Source organism: Homo sapiens, chromosome 12 (genome assembly GCF_000001405.40).
Source record: "Homo sapiens chromosome 12, GRCh38.p14 Primary Assembly".
Lineage (NCBI taxonomy): Eukaryota > Metazoa > Chordata > Mammalia > Primates > Hominidae > Homo > Homo sapiens.
This window is the reverse complement of record NC_000012.12, coordinates 126111479-126132223: the sequence shown is the minus strand read 5'-3', so window position 1 is coordinate 126132223 and position 20745 is coordinate 126111479. Positions and strand designations below refer to the sequence as shown.

Below are 20745 nucleotides of genomic sequence, written 5' to 3'. Positions count from 1 at the left end.
AGTGAAATAAATAAAAGGTATCCAAGTAAAAAGAGAGGAACTTAAACTATCTCTGTTTTCAGATAATATGATTCTACACCTAGAAAAACCCATAGTCTCTGTGCGAAAGCTCCTTCATCTGATAAACAACTTCAGCAAAGTTTCAGGATACAAAATCAGTATACAAAAAATCAGTAGCATTTCTATACATCAACAACATCCAAGCTGAAAACAAAATCAAGAATGCAACCCCATTCACAATAGCCACAAAAAGAAGAAAATACCTAGTAATACAGCTAACCAAGAAGGTGAATGACCTTTACAACAAGAACTACAAAACACTGCTCAAAGAAATCAGAGATGACACAAACAAGTGGAAAAACATCCAGGCTCATGGATAGGAAGAATCAATATTGTTAAAGTGGCCATACTGCCCAAAGCAATTTACAGATTCAATACCATTCCTATCCTATTCCTATTAAACTATCACTGACATTCTTCACAAAAGTAGAAAATACTATTTTAAAATTCATATTGAACCAAAAGAGAACTCAAATAGCCAAGGCAATCCTAAGCAAAAAGACCAAAGCTGGAGGCATCACAATACCCAACTTCAAACTATACTACAAGTCTATAGTAACTAAAACAGCATGGTACTGGTACAAAACCAGGCATATAAAACAATGGAAGAGAATAGAGAGCCCAGAAATAATGTCACACAGCTACAATCATCTGATCTTTGAAGAAGCCAACAAAAACAAGAAATGGGGAAAGCACTCCCTATCAATAAATGGTGCCAGAATAACTGGCTAACCATATGCAGAAGCTTGAAATTGGGCCTCTTCCTTACACCATATACAAAAATCAACTCAAGATTTATTAAAGACTCAAATCTAACACCAAAAACTATCAAAAACCTGCAAGACAACCTAGGAAATACCATTCTGAACATAGAACCTGGCAAAGATTTCATGAACAAGATGCCAAAACAATTGCAACAAAGATAAAAATTGACAACGGGGCCTAATTAACATAAAGAGCTTCTGCACAGCAAAAGAAACTATCAACAGAGTAAACAGACAACCTACAGAATCAGAGAAAATATTTGCAAGCTATCCATCCAACAAAGGTCTAATATCCAGAATCTGTAAAAAACTTAAACAAACTTGTAAGCATAAACAACCCCAATAAAAAGTGGGCAAAGGACACTAACAGACACTTTTTAAAAGAAGACACACATGTAGCCAACAAGCATATGAAATAATTCTCAACATCACTAATCATTAGAGAAATACAAATCAAAACCAAAATGAGGTACCATCTCACATCAGTCAGAATGGCAATTATTAAAGAGTCAGAAAATAACAGATGCTGGGGTGGTTGTAGAGAAAAGGGAACATTTCTAGGCTGCTGGTGGGAATGTAAATTAGGTCAGGCATAGTGGAAAGCTAGTTAGCAATATCTCAAAAACTTAAAACTACAAAACCGAGAATTACATTTGACCCCACAATCCCAATATTGCGTACATAGCCAAAGGAATGTAAATCATTCTATGATAAAGACACATGCATGTGTATGTTCATTGCAGCACTATTCACAATAGCAAAGACATGGAATCAACCTACACGTCCATCATTGGTAGACTGGATAAAAATGGTGGTACATACACAATGGAATACTATACATCCGTCAAAAATTAGATCATGTCTTTTGCAGCAACATAAATGGAACTGGCAAAGTAAACTAACACAGAAACAGAAAATCAAATATCACGTTATCACTTATATGTGGGAGCTACACCAAGATGGGAACAATAGACTCTGGGGTCTACTTGAGGGTGGAGGGTGGGAGGAGGGTGAGGATTGAAAAACTACCTATCAGAGACTATGCTTATTAGTTGGCTGACAAAGTAATCTGTATATCAAACCCCTGTGACATGCAATTTACCTATATAACAAATCTGCCCCTGAACCTAAAATAAAAGTTAAGAAAAAAGAACCCTTTCCCTGCTTCCTGACACATCCTAAAATATTGTGTCTTGCATAACAGATGACCTTGAAATTCAAAGCATGGCTTCAAAATAAATAGTTTTATTACACTCTCTTCAAAAAATTAATTTTCCTTATTACTCTGGAATAAATAGATTTCTACTTTTTAATAAAAAATGTTCTCCGTCACTAATGTTAGAAAGACTTCCTAACTCCCAAGGTTATACACAAATTTGCCTATATTTTCTCCTAGTAGCTTGATTATGATGATGATACTGATTTCACCTAACAGGCATTGAGTTCTTATTATATGCTGAGTATAATAAAGTGTTCCATTTAATCCCCACAATAACATCTACAATATGGACAGTATTATTATTCCTGTTTCACAGAAACAGAACTAAACCTTAACAGTTTTAAAGGCCTTGACCAAGTTTTGAAGACCAAATGATTCATATAGCCCAGATCGTGAGAGAGTTTGACTCCAAGGGCTGAGTTAATGTGCTACTGCATTCTTCCTATTTCTTTTTTCAAATCTTGTACCAAGACGTTGGTATAATTTCCATAATTAATTATCTTTTCCCTACTGACAGTCACAGATCTTTTCCAGAATTAGACCTGAAAGCAAAACTCTATCTTGGAATGAGCACCTAAACTTCACCACTAGAGCCGTGGGCATCTCCAGGTCTGATTCACTCCCTGTGACCAGGTCCAAAGATCACATGGGAAGGGACCTCCCACTCTTTTTTTTTTCCTGTGGTACACAAGAGGTCCTTGAGATTTCCACTGCTTTTTGTAAATTTGAAGGTCTTTGAGAAACACTAGTTTCATTGACTTTTTTCTTCCTTCGCTTATATTTCATGCAACAAGCAGACTCTCCCCTAGGGCTGCAGAGCATTATTTTAGATCAGGGCAGCAGTGATGTCATAGAAAAAAAAACCTTGAGTTTCCCCTTTTCACCCAGTTGGAATTATTCGCAATTTCTAGAAACATCCTTTACAACCTATAGCAGAGTGGTTCCTGGATCAGTAACATCGATGGGAGCTTACTGAGTAAAAATTCTTAGGTCCCAGACCCAGCAGTCTTTGTTTTCAGAAGCTTTCCAGGTGATTCTGATGTTGAGAACCACTGACTACAGTAGCTTAGCAAGCAAGCAATTAAAACAACAGCATGACAGAATGCAACCTATGTGTTGCTCTTAACATGAGCAGCAGTAGGCAAGTTCAAAGAAGATAGCAAATTCTGGGAACTCGTGTATGACTATGATGATCTCAAGTGCTCTAAATTCCCCACTGGGATCTCCTGTATTTGTCTGTAAGGAATGACTTCCCGTATTGATACAGACAAAATTAAAATAACTGCTGCAAAGAATGCCTTACACACACAGACACCACATTTGCAGGCAAGTCACTAAGCACTGTGTCTTTTTAATGTTCATTCATTTCAGATGGATTTTCTTCTCATTTATCGTCTTGTAGGAAATACCCCAGTTAATAAGGGGTGGGGATAGCTGGGAAGGAGAAAAATTAGGGGAGCAAAGCAAATGATTTGCAGTGTTAGTACTGAAAACCAACAGTTTCAAGCAACAGCCATCCAACATGATCTCGGAGGTTTGGTTTGGTGACACTGTCACCAGGGGTCAGCAGGACTCAGCTGTGAAAAATAACTACATGCAATTGACTGGTCAGGCTGAATTTGGGCCCTAGACAGATATCTCAGACCCCTCTTGAAATTTCTTGGCCTTTTCTAAATTTGAAAGCAGGTGAGAACCAGCAGTCAAAAGCTCACAAAGTGAGATTCTGTCACAAAAAAATAAAGAAGAATTAAATCCTATCATTTGCAGCAACATGGATGAAACTGGAGGTCATTATGTTAGCTGAAATAAATCAGGCACAGAGCGACAAATTGTGCGTGTTCTCATTCATATGTGAGAGTTAAAGTAAGTGGATCTCATGGAGGTAGAGAGTAGAGTGATGGATACTAGAGGCTGGGAAGGGGTGGGGGAATGAGGAGAGGTTGGTTAATGAGTCCTAGTGTTCTGTAGCAGAGTAGGGCAACTATAGGTAACAGTAATTTACTGTATATATCAAAATAGCTGGAAGAGATTCAAAATGTTCCCAACACAAGGAAATGATAAATGTTTAAGGCGATGGAGACCCGAAATACCCTGATTTGATCATTACACATTGTTCGCATTACCAAAATATCACATGTACCCCATAATATGTATAATTACTATGTATCAATACAAATAAATTAAAAATTAAAAATGGATTTTTAAAAAAATTTTATTGCCATAGGTTTTGGGGGAACAGGTGGTATTTGGTTACATGAGTGAGTTCTTTAGTGGTGATTAGTGAGATTTTGGTGCACCCATCACCCAGCAGTACACACTGAACCCAATTTGTAGTCTTTTGTCTCTTACACCTTCCCATCCTTTCCAAGTCCTCAAAGTCCATTGTATAATTCTTATCCCTTTACATCCTCACAGCTTGGCTCCCGCTTATAAGTGAGAACATACAATGTTTGGTTTTCCATTCCTGAGTTACTTGACTTAGAATAATAGTTTCCAGTTCCATTTAGGCTGCTGCAAATGCCATTAATTCATTCTTTTTTATGGCTGAGTAATATTCCATTGTATTTACATGCCACAATTTCTTTATCCACTTGTTGATTGATGGGCATTTGGGCTGGTTCCAAATTTTTGCAATTGGGAATTGTGCTGCTATAAACATGCGTGTGCAAGTATCTTTTTTATATAATGACTTCTTTTCCTCTGGGTAGATTCCCAGTAGTGGGATTGCTGAATCAAATGGTAGTTCTGCTTACAGAGGTTAATTTTTGAAGTTTCTTCTTCTTCTCTCTTTTTTTTTAATGGTGTCTTACTATGTTACCCAGGCTGGTCTCAACCTCCTGGGCTCAACTCCTGGCCATCCTCCACCTCAGCCTCCCAAGTAGCAGGGATTACAGACACGTACCATGATGTTCAGCGTGTAGCTTCTCTAAAAAAATATGAAACAAGTTAGGTCCAAGAAACATCTGTGTGATGCAGTTGAACCCAGTGAAATTCTTTTTTACCCCAAGTTGCAGCCAAATAAAGAGGAAATAAATAACAATTATTTCTCATCACTTGACTTTACTGATTTCACCTGTATTCACTGATTTCTACTTCAATTGCCATTGAATTCTAGTATCAAAGAAGCCAGGACCCCAACTGCTCTGCTCCTCCTCCTCCTTCTTTTAGGGTAACTGTATCTATGCTCTTTTAAAATTGTTCTCTGAGCCTAGCATTCATATTATCTTAAGCATTTAAATGACTGAAGCAAAAAAAAAAGTTCTCATTATTGCTGTCAAGTCATGCAAAGGACAAAAAAATGTATTGATCAAGCAAAGCTAAGTGCATCAGATTTACCTCAGGGAAGAATCCCTTGAAAGATCTTAGTGGAGTTCTTAAAAGGGAAATTAGGGTAGTTTGTTTGCAGGATTTGAGCCTGGGCTGGGTGATTGTGAGATGGGACTCACAGGGCAGGGAGCTGGTTGGGATCGGGCTCTTGACCCCACCTGCCGCGACTTGGATAGGAGCTTAGGCCGCATCAGCCTGACTTGACACTGGTCCATAGAACCAAGGGCCAAATCACTGCATGGTCTCACCTGCCAGGTTTCGCTGTCCCTTTCTGTGCCTTCCAAGGAAGTTTGCCTCATCTTACAATCATACATAGCCATCTCAGGACCTCTTGGCCCTTCTGATCTGCTGAGGGTCTCTTTGGATGAGATATAGATGTCCATGGCACTGCAGAGCATCAGTTTATGATTGCAAAGGTATCACTTCCTGCTCCTTGCCTGAGTCCTGCAATCTGTCCATCATGGGTACTTTTGGTCATCCTGCCTGACACCTGATGGGGAAAGGGGGTGACCTGGTGATGTGTTTAAGCATTCTCCCTGGGGAAAGTGATTCTCTGTATGTCTCAGTTGAACACAGCTCAGATGCTCAGGATTGGGTCTGCAGCTTAGCAGATCTGAGTCTTGCAGCTACTTCTTCAGCTTGAGAGACAGCCAACCCTCTCCCTCATCCCCACTGTGGTTCCTGCCCAGCATCATCTGTGCACCCACCCTCTGCACCCCAGCCCTGTGCCGCCTGGTCCAGCAGGCCTCTCTCTCTCCCAACTTAGCATGTCTCAGAGAAAGGAACTCCCAGATCGAGAGGCCAGCTGGGGAGAAGTCCCTAGAGCCACAATAGAAAGCTGTTCTTATAATCAAAACACATTCAATTTCTTTGGGCCCAATATGCTGGCCTTTTGCACGTGATGTTCTATTCCCTAAGGATGCTGTTTTTGTGATGGAAGATAGGGTGGCCAACCATACCAGTTGGCACAGGACTGTCTTTATTTTGGCATGGAAAGTTCAGCTTTCCAGAAAACAGCTTAGTCCTGGGTAAACTGGGACCGTTGGGAGGACAGTTTGAAGGATGGCAACTCCTCTATTCTCCAAATTGAGTCACTTCCCTAGAAAACCCTCTCAATGGGCCACTCCCCTCAAATGAACACCTAGAACCCTCTCTTCCTAGGAACATCCTGTACCCACCACCAAGAACTCAGACTCTTGAAAACCAAACCTTTTTATCTAGTCTCTGCAGCAAGGAAAATGTAGACTTGTAGAAGGAAAAGCTACAGTGTGAGCCTGGTTCTTGAGAGGAGAATCAAAGCCCATCTTCTGTTCTCTTAGGATCACCTTTCTGCTGAGAAAACAAGGCATAGCTATTTTCTCCATCATATCATCCCAGCTCACAGGGATTTCTCATAGGAAGTGGTTCTCAGACCCGGGTATATATAAGTATTATCTGGGGGACTTGAACAATTCCTCCATGCCTGCACCCCTCTCCTGATTAATTAGAATCTGTGAGGTTTGGCTGGGCATAAAAACAATGAAAACCATCCATTTCTCAGGGAGTGGTGAAGAGAAGGTTTTGTCTTATTTCAGTCATATTTATAAGAAATTCAATAAACAGATCAAGTAGATGACTGTTTCTATATATTATGAACCCAAAATTCCCTTGACTTCTGACCTTTGAAGGCCAAGGCACTACAGTCCATGTAAGACAGGCTGCCCTGCATGCCAAAATTCACTGACATGGAACATTTCTTCATTAACCCCACTGTAAATATTGCAAATTCTTCCGACTTGCATAAATACTGAATGTAAAACTCAAGTGTTTCATAGACTGGGCTGACATATCCCATAATCTCAGGATTTGAGAGCTGGAAGCCTCCCCCACCCATCTTTTTCCATAACTCAATGAAATTAATATTATCAAAATTCTTATTATTAATTTTCTGAGCTCCTTCAAAATCTTCTTTGGCAAACAATGGCTTTATTTTCTAGAGATTTTTCTCAAATTGAATTTTGGTTACATCAGCTCTAGAGAGTACATAGGAGCATGTATACTTAAGCATATTTTTCTCATAAATATAATACACTTGCAACGGCTTTCAAATGATTACCATGGACTCAATCTCGAATGTCATACTTTTACATTAGTTTGACACATTTATAATTGCCTGGAAGGATTTCTTAAACAAGCAGCACTTTTATTGGATCAGAAAATCTTGATATGACCTAAATTTTATGTACAACCTCTATTTATTTCTGTTGTGGATGAAAATGACTAAAGTAATTTAAGATACCACTGAGCAAGAAAATCAGAAAAAGTAAATGGCATGATTGCTGCCTTTTTAAATTCTAATTAAATAATTTAAAGAAGTTTGGATAAAATATGTGATACAAAATAAAATTACCTGGGAAATGTTCAAGACCATGTATTATTTAAGACCGAAGTATGTGAGTAAGAATATTAATAAGGTTGTGCAGATCCGGGTCTGTTTAAATGCGGCCACTAATGAGACAGAACTTTGAAGGTGGTGAGTCTTAAATTAATAACTCCTCATCCAGAAACTCTTGAGAACAAGGATACTGAGTCTCTAAGAGGTTAAGTAGCTTGGGGCTGAGTGACTTTTTCAAGAACTCACTGCTAGTAAGTGGCAGGCCAACCCAGGTCTCTTCTGATTTCCGATCTCAGCTCTTCACCACACTGCTATACTTCCTTTCATCAGGGGAAAGATTACAACATATTCTTGGGGCAGAAACAAACTTTCTTCCAGATACAGGTCAAACTATACCTATTCATAACCAGTTTCTCAAGGTTATTCTCATAATTTAATCATCTTTTAAAAACCATCTTTGTAGAGATGGGGTCTCACTATGTTGGCCAGACTGGTCTCAAACTCCTGGGCTCAAGCGAATCTCCTGCCTTCACTTCCCAACAATTATCTTCTTATGAAGTTTGTTTGAACTCCAGATCATGGCTATTATTATGATTTCTTTATACCTTAGAGAAATTTTCTTTCCCATTGGGGACTTTCAGGAAGATGGTGGTCAATTCTGCAGAACAAAGAGAAACACCCTCTGCCACTGGGTGCTTTACAAGCTGGTGTGGCCCATGATGTATGGAGTGGGTGGCATCAGATATTTCATTAATATTAGAACAACTAATGGCCTGGAGTTGCTTATCACTGACACGTGGCTGACCCAAGTGAGCAAATGGGCCCACACACAATTAGAACTGATACCTGAGTTGCTGTTGTTGGCAGCATTCTTTGCTGTAATATTGGTTGTACACAAAAGTTACAGCACAAGTGTTGAGAGGGAGGGAAGCAAGGCAAAAAGATTCATCAAAGTTCTCTTGGATATAAGTCATAAAAATCCAATTCAAGCTAGCTTAAGCGTGAAGGTCATGTACTGTCTGAAATAACTGAAATGTTTAGGGGTAGGGTTCCTTTCAGGTGTGGCTTGATCCAGGAGACTTGGGTTCTCCTCTTTTTCCATTTCTTGGTTCCTTTTCTTCATGTTGGTTTCATCCACTGAGAAGCCACCATGACTGCAATGGTTGCAACCTTATAGCTCTACCTGTTCTAGATTCTTGGAGAAGAGGGTATCTCACTTTTCACATTTCCACATGGACTTTCCTTCCCTTTAATCCCAAATGAATTATTATGAAGCATCCATTTATAAACCAATTGCTGAGCTCAAGGAATTTGAGTTTCTGATTGGCCAGGAGAGGTTCATATGATCTTTCCCTAGAATGAGGTGAGAAAACCCCGCACCACTAAGAGTAAGGGAGGCATATTTCCCCCAGAAAAGGGTCTGTTACTAGAGGAGAGTACAGCTGTTGAGGCTCTCAACAAGCAATAAATGTCCACCATAGTGGACGATGGCCAGATGGTCCATGTCTTTCAGAGTGTTACACATGAGAGGGCATGTGATTAGGTGGGTGCTTCATGACCCCAGCTGCTGGACTAGCACCCAAATCAAACTTTCAGATCTGTACAGTGGAGAGCTTTCTTTCCAAATTGGAACAACCTCCTTATGAGGGAGTGAACAGATAATTACTGCGGAGGAGAAGCAGAGGCTAGATCAATCTTTACCCTAGGAGATCAGAAAGGCTTGTTGGCTGGTAACTAATGTGAAAGCTGTCAGAATCAAAATGGAGCAACTTGTGTCAAACTGAAAGAAGGAAGGAGGGAAGGAAGGAAGGAAAAGGAAAGGAAATGACCTCATGCACACATGCCTATGGTAAGAACTTTTACAAAGACTCTGAAGGGCTCTTACCCACATATGCCTGTAACAAGAACTTTATCAAGAACTTTTCAAACTGCAGCTTGCTACCTGAGTCACAAGGACATCTAGTCAGATGTACAAGAACACCTGCCTGCCACACTGTCTCCACTAATGAACTGGCCTCAACTCCTGGAATAGCCCCTGTAACCAATGTTCCTCTCTGTTTCAGAACAAATTATGTGTATGTTTTCCCTTTTCCTTTAAAAGCTTTTTCTCACCTCAACCTCTTTGGACATGCCCTTGGTCCCCATACCCTGCAAGTCCTGGGCTTACAAATCCCCTGTGCACTCAATGATAAACTCTTTATCTTCGGAGGATCTTTCTCTGTCTGCTCTTTAAGTGGGCACTTATATTCAAAAATTTCAGAAAACTCAAACTTTTAAGGTTGCTTCTGAACGTGAATGAAGTCAATGAGAGACACTGGAAGGATGAAAACTAGTTCATCAGACATCATTACACACCTGTTCCCAACACACATTACCTTCAGTGGCCTCTGCAGGGTATGTCCTCACATACACATCCTATCATTATTCTGGTGTGACATTATCGTGTGGATGACACAAATAAGTCACATTGCCTTGTAGGTGTGTTTTTGTGAACATATCAATTTGTGTTGTGGAAATCTTTAAGCACAGAATAGAACTTAAACCTCATTTTTGTATTTCTTATTTCTTCCAAGTCTACTTGAAGCCACCAAAGTGGGGGAAATCTCAGCATTGGATGAGGGGGTGACCATCTAATGTGCCTTCTGACTCTCACTCATTGTGACCAGGGAATGGGACAATGGTTGCGACTGAGGGTTCTATTTTTTTTTTTTTTTTTTGAAACGGAGTCTCGCTCTGTTGCCCAGGCTGGAATGCAGTGGCGCCATCTCGGCTCACTGCAACCTCCGCCTTCCCAGTTCAAGCGATTCTCCTGCCTCAGCCTCCTGAGTACCTGGAACTACAGGTGCCCACCACCACGCCCGGCTAATTTTTTTGTTGTTGTTGTATTTTTAGTACAGACAGGGTTTCACCATATTGGCCAGGCGGGTCTCGAACTCCTGACCTTGTGATCCACCTGCCTCAGCCTCCCAAACTGCTGGGATTACAGGCATGAGCCACCATGACTGGCCGCGACTGAGGGTTTCTTTGATGCATCACCTAGAATAAGTTCACAAGCCACAGAGCTCACAGTTTAGAGTCCTTCCTTGTCCTCCTCTCCATATCCTGGGATTCCTTTTACAGCTTCCACCATGGAGACACCCAAAGGAAGCAGAGCACAACGGGCTTCTAAATAATCACACTGTATTAAGTGCCCAGTTTAGTGCCAGTTGCAGACAGTGCCAATTTCTAGATCCACAAATTCATAAAATAGCAAAAATTATATGCAAAGGAAAAACAAAATTAGACCATGTTGAGCTCACCTGCTGTTTTTGGCAATCAGAAATCACTCCTTTTTCAGATACAGGCAGCTAATTTTTCTTTGAGGAACCATTCTCAAAGAGAAGTTCAAAGAAAAATTAGCTGTCTTTATCTGAAAGATCCTTCCTCTTGCTCAATCTGTGGGCAGTGGGGACCACATTTATTTCTGCCCCATTCCTGTCTTTAAGACCATTCATAAGACCAAGGCCCTTTTCCCCCATCTATTCCTCCCCTCTTCATATTGATTATGTGAGGGATGGGCATAGACTGGTCTAATCCTAGTCCATCAGAAGTGGCTTCTGCCCCCATGGGAGTGTACAGCAAATCAATGCAGATGCACTAGGTTAAGCAAATCAATTCAGATGCACTGGGCTCTACAAAACATGGGCATTATGGGGGTGCATTATGGAGGCACATTGCTTACTGTAGATGATGAAGAAAAGGTTCCTGAGAAGATGCCTGGGAGATGAGTAGGACATGGGTACCGACGTGGGCAAGGGTGGGAAGAGAGAAGTAAAATACACAGGAAGTTTGATTATATAAAGATAGATGGGTACTGTATGAACAGAGATGTGGGAAGGAGGGGCTGCAGCATGAAGGGCTGGTGACGATGCCAGGAGCAGGTGACGTGCAGATTGTGAACCGCACTGGAAAGGGTCTTCATCACTTAAAGTGCAATTGGCATACACAAAAATAGACCTGAATGATCATTTTCAACCAGATGGAGGAAGGTGTCATTGATGGGATTCTAACTACCATTATTTGGAGGTCAAAAATTATGAATATATATAGTCTGATATAGCCTCTGCTTCTCCTCTGTAGTAATCATTCACTCACTAACTCATAAGGAGGTTGTTCCAATTTGAAAAGAAGGCCCTGCACTGTGTAGATCTGAAAGTTTGACTCAGGTGCCAGTCCAGCAGCTGGGGGTCATGGAGAACCCACCTAATTACATGCTCTCTCATGTGTAACACTCTGAATGGCATGGACTATATATATATATATATAATTGTTTTATATATATAATTCTTATATATATACATACATATATAAACATATATGTATAATTGATGAATATGAATATTTATGAAATTAATATATATAATTGTTATATTACTTGAACTCAAAATTATTCTTCTATAAATGTATTCTACAGCAATATTTGGACAAAAATGTAAAAAAAAAAAAGCATGTAAAATGGAACACCATTGAGAGTAAGAAAAATGGGCTCACCAAAAATGTACATCATCAGGGGTGAGTTAAATTAAATGGGATGCATTGCAGTCTTTAAAATAATGTAGTAGGTTTAGGTGAACCCATACGCAAAGATGCACAAGAAACATTACGTGAAAAAAGTAAGTTATAGATAAGTGTATTTGACCACATACAGACACCTGCAAGTGTTCACAAACAACTCTAAAAAGATAAATTCCAAATTGTAAATACTTTGGGATGACGGGGCGGGAGGGGAATAAAACCATTAGAGACATTTTTAAATTACAAATTTATATATTATGGTCCCATTTTAATAAGCAAACAGCAGATGTTGTAACCATTTTTAAACTGTAAAAATGTAAAGAAATAACTTGCATCTGGAAAAGAAATGCACACTGAAGCATTTATACAGGCTTAGTTCAAAAATGCTGTCCTTTTTTTTTTTTTTTTTTTTTTTGAGATGGAGTCTCGCTCTGTCCCCCAGGCTGGAGTGCAGTGGCGTGATCTCCACTCACTGCAACCTCCGCCTCCCAGGTTCAAGTGATTCTCATGCCTCAGCTTCCCAAGTAGCTGGGATTACAGGCATGTGCCACCACACCTGGCTAGTTTTTATATTTTAGTAGACACAGGGTTTCCTTCTGTTGGCCAGGTTGGTCTCCAACTCCTGACCTCAAGTGATCTACCCGCCTCGGCCTTCCAAAGTGCTGGGATTACAGGTGTGAGCCACCATGTCCAGCCCCAAAATACTTAGTTTTGAAATAAATCTTGTTAATCACATGAAAACCTAGCACAACATCCACAAGACATGCAGCATGAGGCTGAAAGTCCTGGGAAAGGAGAACACATGCTAACCCAGTCTATGGGGCCAACCTGGGGACTTACAATGCAGAGGTCAGAGCCCCAGGTGCTCCCTGACTCTTCCCTGGAGTCCTCTGCATAGAGTAAGGAGAAGAATGGCTGACTCTGCTGGTTTCCCAGGCTCTCAGCTGCTGAAGGAGCCCTGAGGAATCTTCTGGAAACAGCTTTCCTCAGACAGAATGAAGAGGACACAGGTGCACAAGGTGATAGCACTGTAAGCCTCGTACTGCCTCTCTTCCTCCATCACGTGACAACTGAGCATCCCCAGGTGACCTCTTTAACTTTTCTGGGACTAGTCTCTCTGCCCTGAAAAGTGGAAACAATCATTCTTGCTCTGCTCACCACGCAGGCTGTTGTGAGGATTGTTTGTGTTAATTAATGTAAAAAAGATCTTGTAAACCATGATGGGCTGCCTGTGCGTAGGAAAAGAACCACTTCCCTCACATAGGGATGATTTTCATCTGATTTCAACCGTAAGGGAAAATAGTCAAGCTTTCAAAGGCTACGAGTAAGATGATCGAGCTTGCTTTGTTTAATAAAAAGAAGGGGCCAGCCACAGTGGCTCATGCCTGTAATCCCAGCACTTTGGGAGGCTGAGGCGGGTAGATCACTTGAGGTCAGGAGTTCAAGACCAGCCTGGCCAACATGGTGAAACTCTGTCTCTACTAAAAAATGCAAAAATTAGCTGGGCATGGTAGCAGGCACCTGTAATCCCAGCTACTCGGGGGACTGAGGCAGGAGAATCACTTGAATCCAGGAGATGGAGGCTACAGTGAGCTGAGATCACATCACTGCACTCCAGGCTGGGCCACAGATTGATATCCCATTTCAAAAAAAAAAAAAAAAAAAGGATATTTGAGAGGCTGAGGCCAAAGGATCCTTTGGACCTTGGAGTTTGAGACCATCCTGAGCAACATAGGGAGACCCTGCCTCTGCAAAAAATAAAATAAAATAAAAAATTAGCCAGGCATAGTGTCATGCACCTGTGGTCCTAGCTACTCAGGAGGCTGAGGTGGGAGGATCACTTGAGCCCAGGTCAAGACTGCAGTAAGCTATGATCGCCCTACTACACTCCTGCCTACGCAACATAGGACACACTGTCTCTAAAAAATAAAAATAAATACAGTTTTAAAAGTCTGGCATTTTGATTTTGCAAAACAAGGTCATGAGCTTTCTGGCCCACTCTGCTTCAGAATTAGCTCAGTGATCTCTCACAAGATACAAACACAAGGAGACAATCACAGAGGCATCCATTTATCATTCAAGAAGATAAGAGAGGCTTTAATTTTTCTTTCTTCCATTTCATAAATACATATGAAATTCTTTCCAGGCTTCATTGACACTGTTGAGCCACGTTCGCATCCATGTCCATGTGTAATGCTTACTCATTGCTGAACTGTGTGTCCTCTCACGCTGGTATGGAAGACAGTTTTGTTGGTTTACCTCTTTAATTTCCCCAGCACAAGTCAGTCTCAGACTGAATGCATGACCTTCAGATTTTACACTTTTAGTTTCTTAAGTGTGTTTTAGTGGATTGATTTAACTTTGGCAGAAGTTTTATTTAAATGTATTTGTTTGAAGTAAATATTTAAATATTAACATTTACTAGGGAAGGAAGAGGCTTATTTATATCTGGTTGATTTCCTGGGAGAAGCTTTGGTTTTTTTCTCTCTCTAGGTTTATTAATCATTTTTCAGTACACCATCTTCTGTCCCGGAGGGGCCATGCTGAAGTCAACCAAGCCCCAGGCCAGACCAAGAACAGAACAACTTTGTATGTGGTCCTGGGGATGGGATGAAAGTTAGTAAAGGAAACATTCTGACATCCAAAAGGTCAAGGTCTATTTACAGACACAAACATGCCATGTATCAGGATAATATGACCAAATATTAAACAAGCTGTGAATTTTCTCACTCTTCCTCCTACCCACACTTATCTCCAACCCTAGAAGCTAGGACATTCCCGTCATATTACCCAAGGTAGGACCAAAACCAAGCCAAAAAGAAAAGTAAGTAAATCCATTCTGAGCTTTGGGCTTTCACAATAGAATACTGAAACCCAAGAGAGCGACTGCTCTTAAGGAGATTTGTATCCTTTGAACCTACTTGGTGTTTTAGTGGATTGATTTAACTTTAACCTTAAAATTTGACCTAAACAATAGGCAGAGAACATATATGATCTGGCTGGGCACAGGGGCTCATGCCTGAAATCTCAGCACTTTGGGAGGCCAAGACCAGCTGATCGTTTGAGCCCAAGAGTTCAAGACCAGGCTGGACAACATGGCGAAATCCCTTCTTTACAAAAAATACAAATATTAGCTTGGTCTAGTGGCACACACCAGGAAACAGAGGTAGGAAGATTGCTTGAGCCCGGGAGGTCCAGGCTGCAGTGAACCAAGATCATGCCACTGGGCTCCAGCCTGGGCAACACTATGAGACCCTGTCTCAAAAAATAAAAAATTATGTATATAAATATGTGTGTGTGTGTGTGTGTGTGTGTGTGTGTGTATAATCTATCAGAATGGACTCTTCTAGTTTTCCTCTAATAAACACCCCCATGTACTTGAGGGTAGAATGTGTCTGGAGGGAAAGCAAGGGAAAGTACATCGTTGCCACCCACTGGTCTTGGTCCTAAGTGGTGATAATGGAGTCATAGGTCTTCCAGATGGTTTGGGAGATCTGGAATAGAAGAGACCTGGATCTCTTTTCTTATCCAGTTGCCATAGAGTTCCTCGTGCCACCTTGGTTTAAGAGAGTAGACTAAAGATGGCCCCATGTGAATTCAAGGCACAGAGGCCTGAAAGGACCACCCAGTTCAGTGTTTCCCCAGTGAATGGAGAAGCCAAACAGTCTTTTGAGCCAGCAGCACTGGAGGACAAGGATGGGCCTCGTGACTGGGTTCAGGGTGCACCATTATGGATATGTGGCAAATCTCATATTGGGGGACCAGCTGGGAATGCAAACTTATCAGAGAAGGTTAAGGAGGAAAAGAAGTCAGACAGGAAAACCATCTCTGTGGACACCAGCGTCAGACAGAGAAGAGCTGAGAACTACTTATGTGCCCACGACAGTCCTGTGTGAGCCTCCTGGTGCTCAGACTCAACTCCATGAAAAAGAGGAGGATGGAATTACAAATTAATTGAGTGTAATGCATATTTTTTGAAATAAGTTAGAATTGGTGAGCTGATGCTTTGTGCCATCTGACTAAACAGGGCTAGAAATAAATGTTAAGTTGATTAGGCAGACTGAGAATGTGTACCTAATACACACAGAAAGAATGAGAGAAATGGAGACAGATATGGAAAGAGAGAGAGGAAAGAAAAAAGAGAGAGAGAGAGTGAGCATGTGCATGATCTATCCTGGCATGCAGGCATGACACCGGTTAGTACTTGGCTTGTACACAGTAGGCAGTACTCAATAAATGATTGTTGAACAAATTAAGTAAAAAGGGAATCTGAAGTAAGGAGGTGAAGATGGAAGTGGATGTTGCAGAGTGAGATGTAGGGGGAGGTTGTTCATTCTTTTAAAAAAAATTTCGATCACAATTTTTCCCGCAGTGTACCTAAGTTTAAAATAAGATTGAAATGTGTTCTCTGGTGTTCTCAAAACTCCACTCCCTCACTTGCAGTGGGAAAGACTGGGTACCGTAGTCAGACACACTGCGAGGGGATGGTTCACAGGGTGTCCAGCTCCTCCCAGTTTGCCTGGGACTTTTTCAGCTTTAGCACTGAAAGCCCCATGTCTTAGGAGGGGCCCAGTTCCAAGCTCATTGGGTCATTCTGATTCAAATTCCGCACATCCAGTCATAGAGGGATAATGTTCCCAGCTCACAACTCTCCGCTTTCAGGATTTGAAAACCAAGAAAATGGAATTTGAGGTATTCAAAGGAAGAAGCACAGCACAGCCTGTTGTATCTGCACAGTAATAGTCAACAACAATAGAGTGTTATTGAAAAAATAAATTAGCTCATTATGGTTGGGGTCATTGAGAAAGATGTGGTATCACCAGTCTTCAAATCAAGAGACACATTGGGGAACTAAATGCCACAATCTCTTTATTGCATCCCTACCTAAATGCAAAGCTCCCCTCAACCTAGGCCACATCAAGATGAGATCTTATCAGGAGAGAGGAAACTATTAATTTGGCCATGTTAATTTATCACAGTGGAGATCTGGTGCATAATTTAACACTTATCTCATTAATTTTATAGCTACTCTTTACAGCTCTTACAACAGTTAGAAATGTTTGATGGAAAAGGGAGCTCTCCTCACCTCCTAGGCATTCCGTGAGAAAAGGTTTTGGGAAACGTTTTGTGTCGCATGTTTCTCTTCCCTGACCTCTGTTTCCAGACTGCTGCAAAGCACAGTGTGCCCACAAGATTTCTGGATGACGGGGAGGTGCAGTTCACAGCATCAAGTCATGCAGAAGGGAGGGGAGTTAACTTGATGGGTGTCTGAGATGGGCTGATGAAATGCAGCATGGAAAATTAGCCCAGTAAAACAGCTATAAAATTTGAATCACAGCATCATAAAAATGCCAACAGACCAAGAACAATAAATATCGCAGGCAGCCAAGAACAAGGCAAGTTACCCTATGCACAAACCTGGAAATACACATTACCTTTAATAACTTCCTTGTAACACTGTTAATTAAGCCATCTCTGAAACAATAGTCAATGTTTTGAAAAGATGATTCTATCATAGAAAGTGGAGACAAATTTTAACCCTGATGACTTTCTATTTCTTTACATAAAAAAATCTGCAAAGATGGAGAAACATTAAGGATAATCTATAATCACGGTTTTCCCAAGTAGAAATAAATTCTTGTTATCTGCAGCAGTTATTTTCTTTTTTCTTTTTTAAATTTTTTAGTTGACAAATAAAAACTGTATATATTGATGATATACAGCCTTGTATTTTGAAATATGCATACCATACTTTGTAGAAATAAATCAAGCTAATTAATGTATGTATTGCTCCATACTTATTTTTTGTGGTAAAAACACTTGAAATCTACTTTCTTAGCAATTTTCAAGAATACCATACATTGTTGTGAACTATAGTCACTATGTTATACAATAGTTCTCCTGAACTTTTTCCTTTTATCTAACAAATAATTTGTATTCATTGACCAATTTTTCCCCATCCCACATTAATTATGTTCTATAGAGTCACCTTGGACACGGAATTATCAAGTACTGAACATTTTCTAGGAGAAATGAGATAAATTTCTTCAAGCCTCTTGTCACAACCTTCTTATCCATCAATGAATACATAACCTCATCTTACATGTGTTTCTGTTTAAAGACACCTTATTTAATACATAGCACCAACTCATTAACATTGAACTCATGGCCAGCCCTGCTGTCTGTCACTCATGCCTGAATGAAGCATCTTTGCATTTTCTCCATCAGGTACCTCACATTGCCTTCTTGTGGTAGACAAGACTTCAGCACTATGCTTGCAGTCCATGTTAAACAGCAAAATCATCCATGAAAGAAACACAAAAATGCAAAGAGTCTGGCACTAAATAGACTACAAAAAGGACACTTGTTTATGGTATGAGGGCTGAAACAAGAAAGCAGAGTGTCACCTTGTTCCATCTAAGGTGAAAACTTAATTTTTTTTTCTGTTCCGTGTATGTTCAAAAATGAGCATAAAACCACCAGGAACATTGATTTTGGAATTACAAGTACATTTTAGCAAGTACATTTTCAAACACAGTATCTGTAAATAAGGAGGACAGAGAGTGACTTTGTTTGCAACTCCCAATAATTTAAACAATATTTAACTAATGCATTTTTCAGTATCACTCTGAGTCTCCGGTTACAATAAACAGGAAGTGATTATAACTTTCTTAGAAAAGCAACATAATGGAAGGATATGGGAAAACTCAGAAAGTCAAGGCAAAATGTAAAGAAAGAGAAAAGATATGAAAGGAAAATCTCCTAGGATTAGGTTGCATTCATTTCTGCATTCCTACATATTTACAGAATTGGTATGTGCTAGGCACTGTTTGTGTTTGAGATACAAAAGTGAACAAACCAGGTCTCTGTCAGTGTGGAATTTACAATTTATTAGAGAAGACAATAGAATGTTAACATATCTTAGAAGTGATATGTGCTATAGAAACCAAAAGCCATGTCAGTGGGCATCTGGTCTGCCAGGGATGCGAGTAGGCAGGTGGCAATTTTAAGTCCTATTTCTGCTTCTTTAGCAAGTCATGTGAACTCAGCCAATTTTCTTAACTTCACTGCATCTTATATTATTTCATCTGTGGCTTAGGTATAATAAAAACACCTAGCTCATAGGGTTGTTTGTAGGATCTTTAGGATTATTGCAGGTGAAGTACTTGACACAGTGCCCAGCACACAGTAGGTAAGTTTTCTGTTTCATGCTTATGATAATATGCTATTACAGTAATGATACAAATGCTGCATAGCCCCTCTGAATCACCACCAGTGTTGGGCCTGTTGAAGATTTGAACTTTCCTAACATATTTGTCAATGGAGAGATTGTCTTTGTCTTAAAGAATATGCTTTCCATAATTGTAGAATAAAGAAAAGGCAGTAACAGAAAACCCAGCCTTGAAAGATACTTGGTGTATCAGTTTAATTTTTTCAAATATTTTACATATTCTTTTCTTTCTCATCTTAAGAGAACAAAATGGGTGTGTTCTTCTATGCAGCATTTATAACTTTCTTGCTATAGAGAATGACTTATGACTAAACCTGATGATGAACAGAGCTTTCTCTTTGTGGTTTTCAATAACATAACCCAGATAGAAACAAGGCTGCAGATATTTATGCCTCTCCCTTGTCTCTTTGAAAGTTTAAAATCATCCCCTAATTAAACCGGAAGACATTGTGCATGATTTTTTTTTAAAGGCTGTAACAGCAAAGACAAGCTAGCTAGCTATTCAGTTATCTGGTGAATAGCTATTTACTGAACCTCTTTCCTTTTCTTCTCAAGCTCACAGTTATACTCTATTTACAGCCTCCCTTGCAGAGGGACTAGGACTTAACTGAGAAAGGTGAGTAGAAGCCATATCACCACCTCCCAGCCTGACCTATAAAACGTCTCATGGGTAGTCCTGCATGCTTTGTTGCTGCAAATCAGAAGATGCTTGTTAAAGATGGAGAAGTCACAGGATGGAAAAAGCCTAGGTTCTTGAATTAGTTCTTGGTGGATCTACTCACCCATCAACAAAAATGACCAGACTGGACTTTCAATGAGTGAAAAATGAACTTCTATGGGGCTCTAACCATTACATATCTTGAGGTGCATTTACTACAGCATAGAACTTTACCCTAAATGAGAGAATGGAAACCCCTAAGAATTGACTTTAGTGACAGACCTCGATTTCTTCAGGTAGTATAAACGTCTCAGATCTTTACTTACTGATTTCAAAGAAACAAGGACATAGCTGCTCCCATATCCCCATAAATATTGCAGGAGTTGAAAACATTTCTGGGATTGCAACCTAGTCACATTGATCGTAGAGAAAATGACTGTGCAGTTGATTTGGCTGTACTGTGTCCTGGGATGTTCCCTTCCACTACTGTTGAATTTATGGTCTCTTTTGGACACACAGTACATCCAACGAAAACTGATCTTGCATCTATAATTATGC

The 20745-nt window shown here is 40.2% G+C and overlaps 2 long non-coding RNA genes across 6 annotated transcripts in view; one reads left to right on the top strand and one right to left on the bottom strand.

Moving 5' to 3' along the window:
• Positions 1 to 20745, bottom strand: part of LINC02359 (long intergenic non-protein coding RNA 2359) — an 82665-nt gene that overhangs the window by 44584 nt on the left and 17336 nt on the right. The gene's annotated exons all lie outside the window — the stretch shown is intronic.
• Positions 1 to 20745, top strand: part of LOC107984447 (uncharacterized) — a 55612-nt gene that overhangs the window by 34005 nt on the left and 862 nt on the right. The window contains exon 3 of one of the 2 annotated variants that reach the window (XR_001749374.2): positions 20109 to 20145. This is a non-coding gene — a long non-coding RNA (uncharacterized LOC107984447). Of the gene's footprint in view, positions 1 to 20108; positions 20149 to 20745 lie in introns of those variants that run through there. The other variant, XR_001749373.2, reaches the window with a different exon arrangement.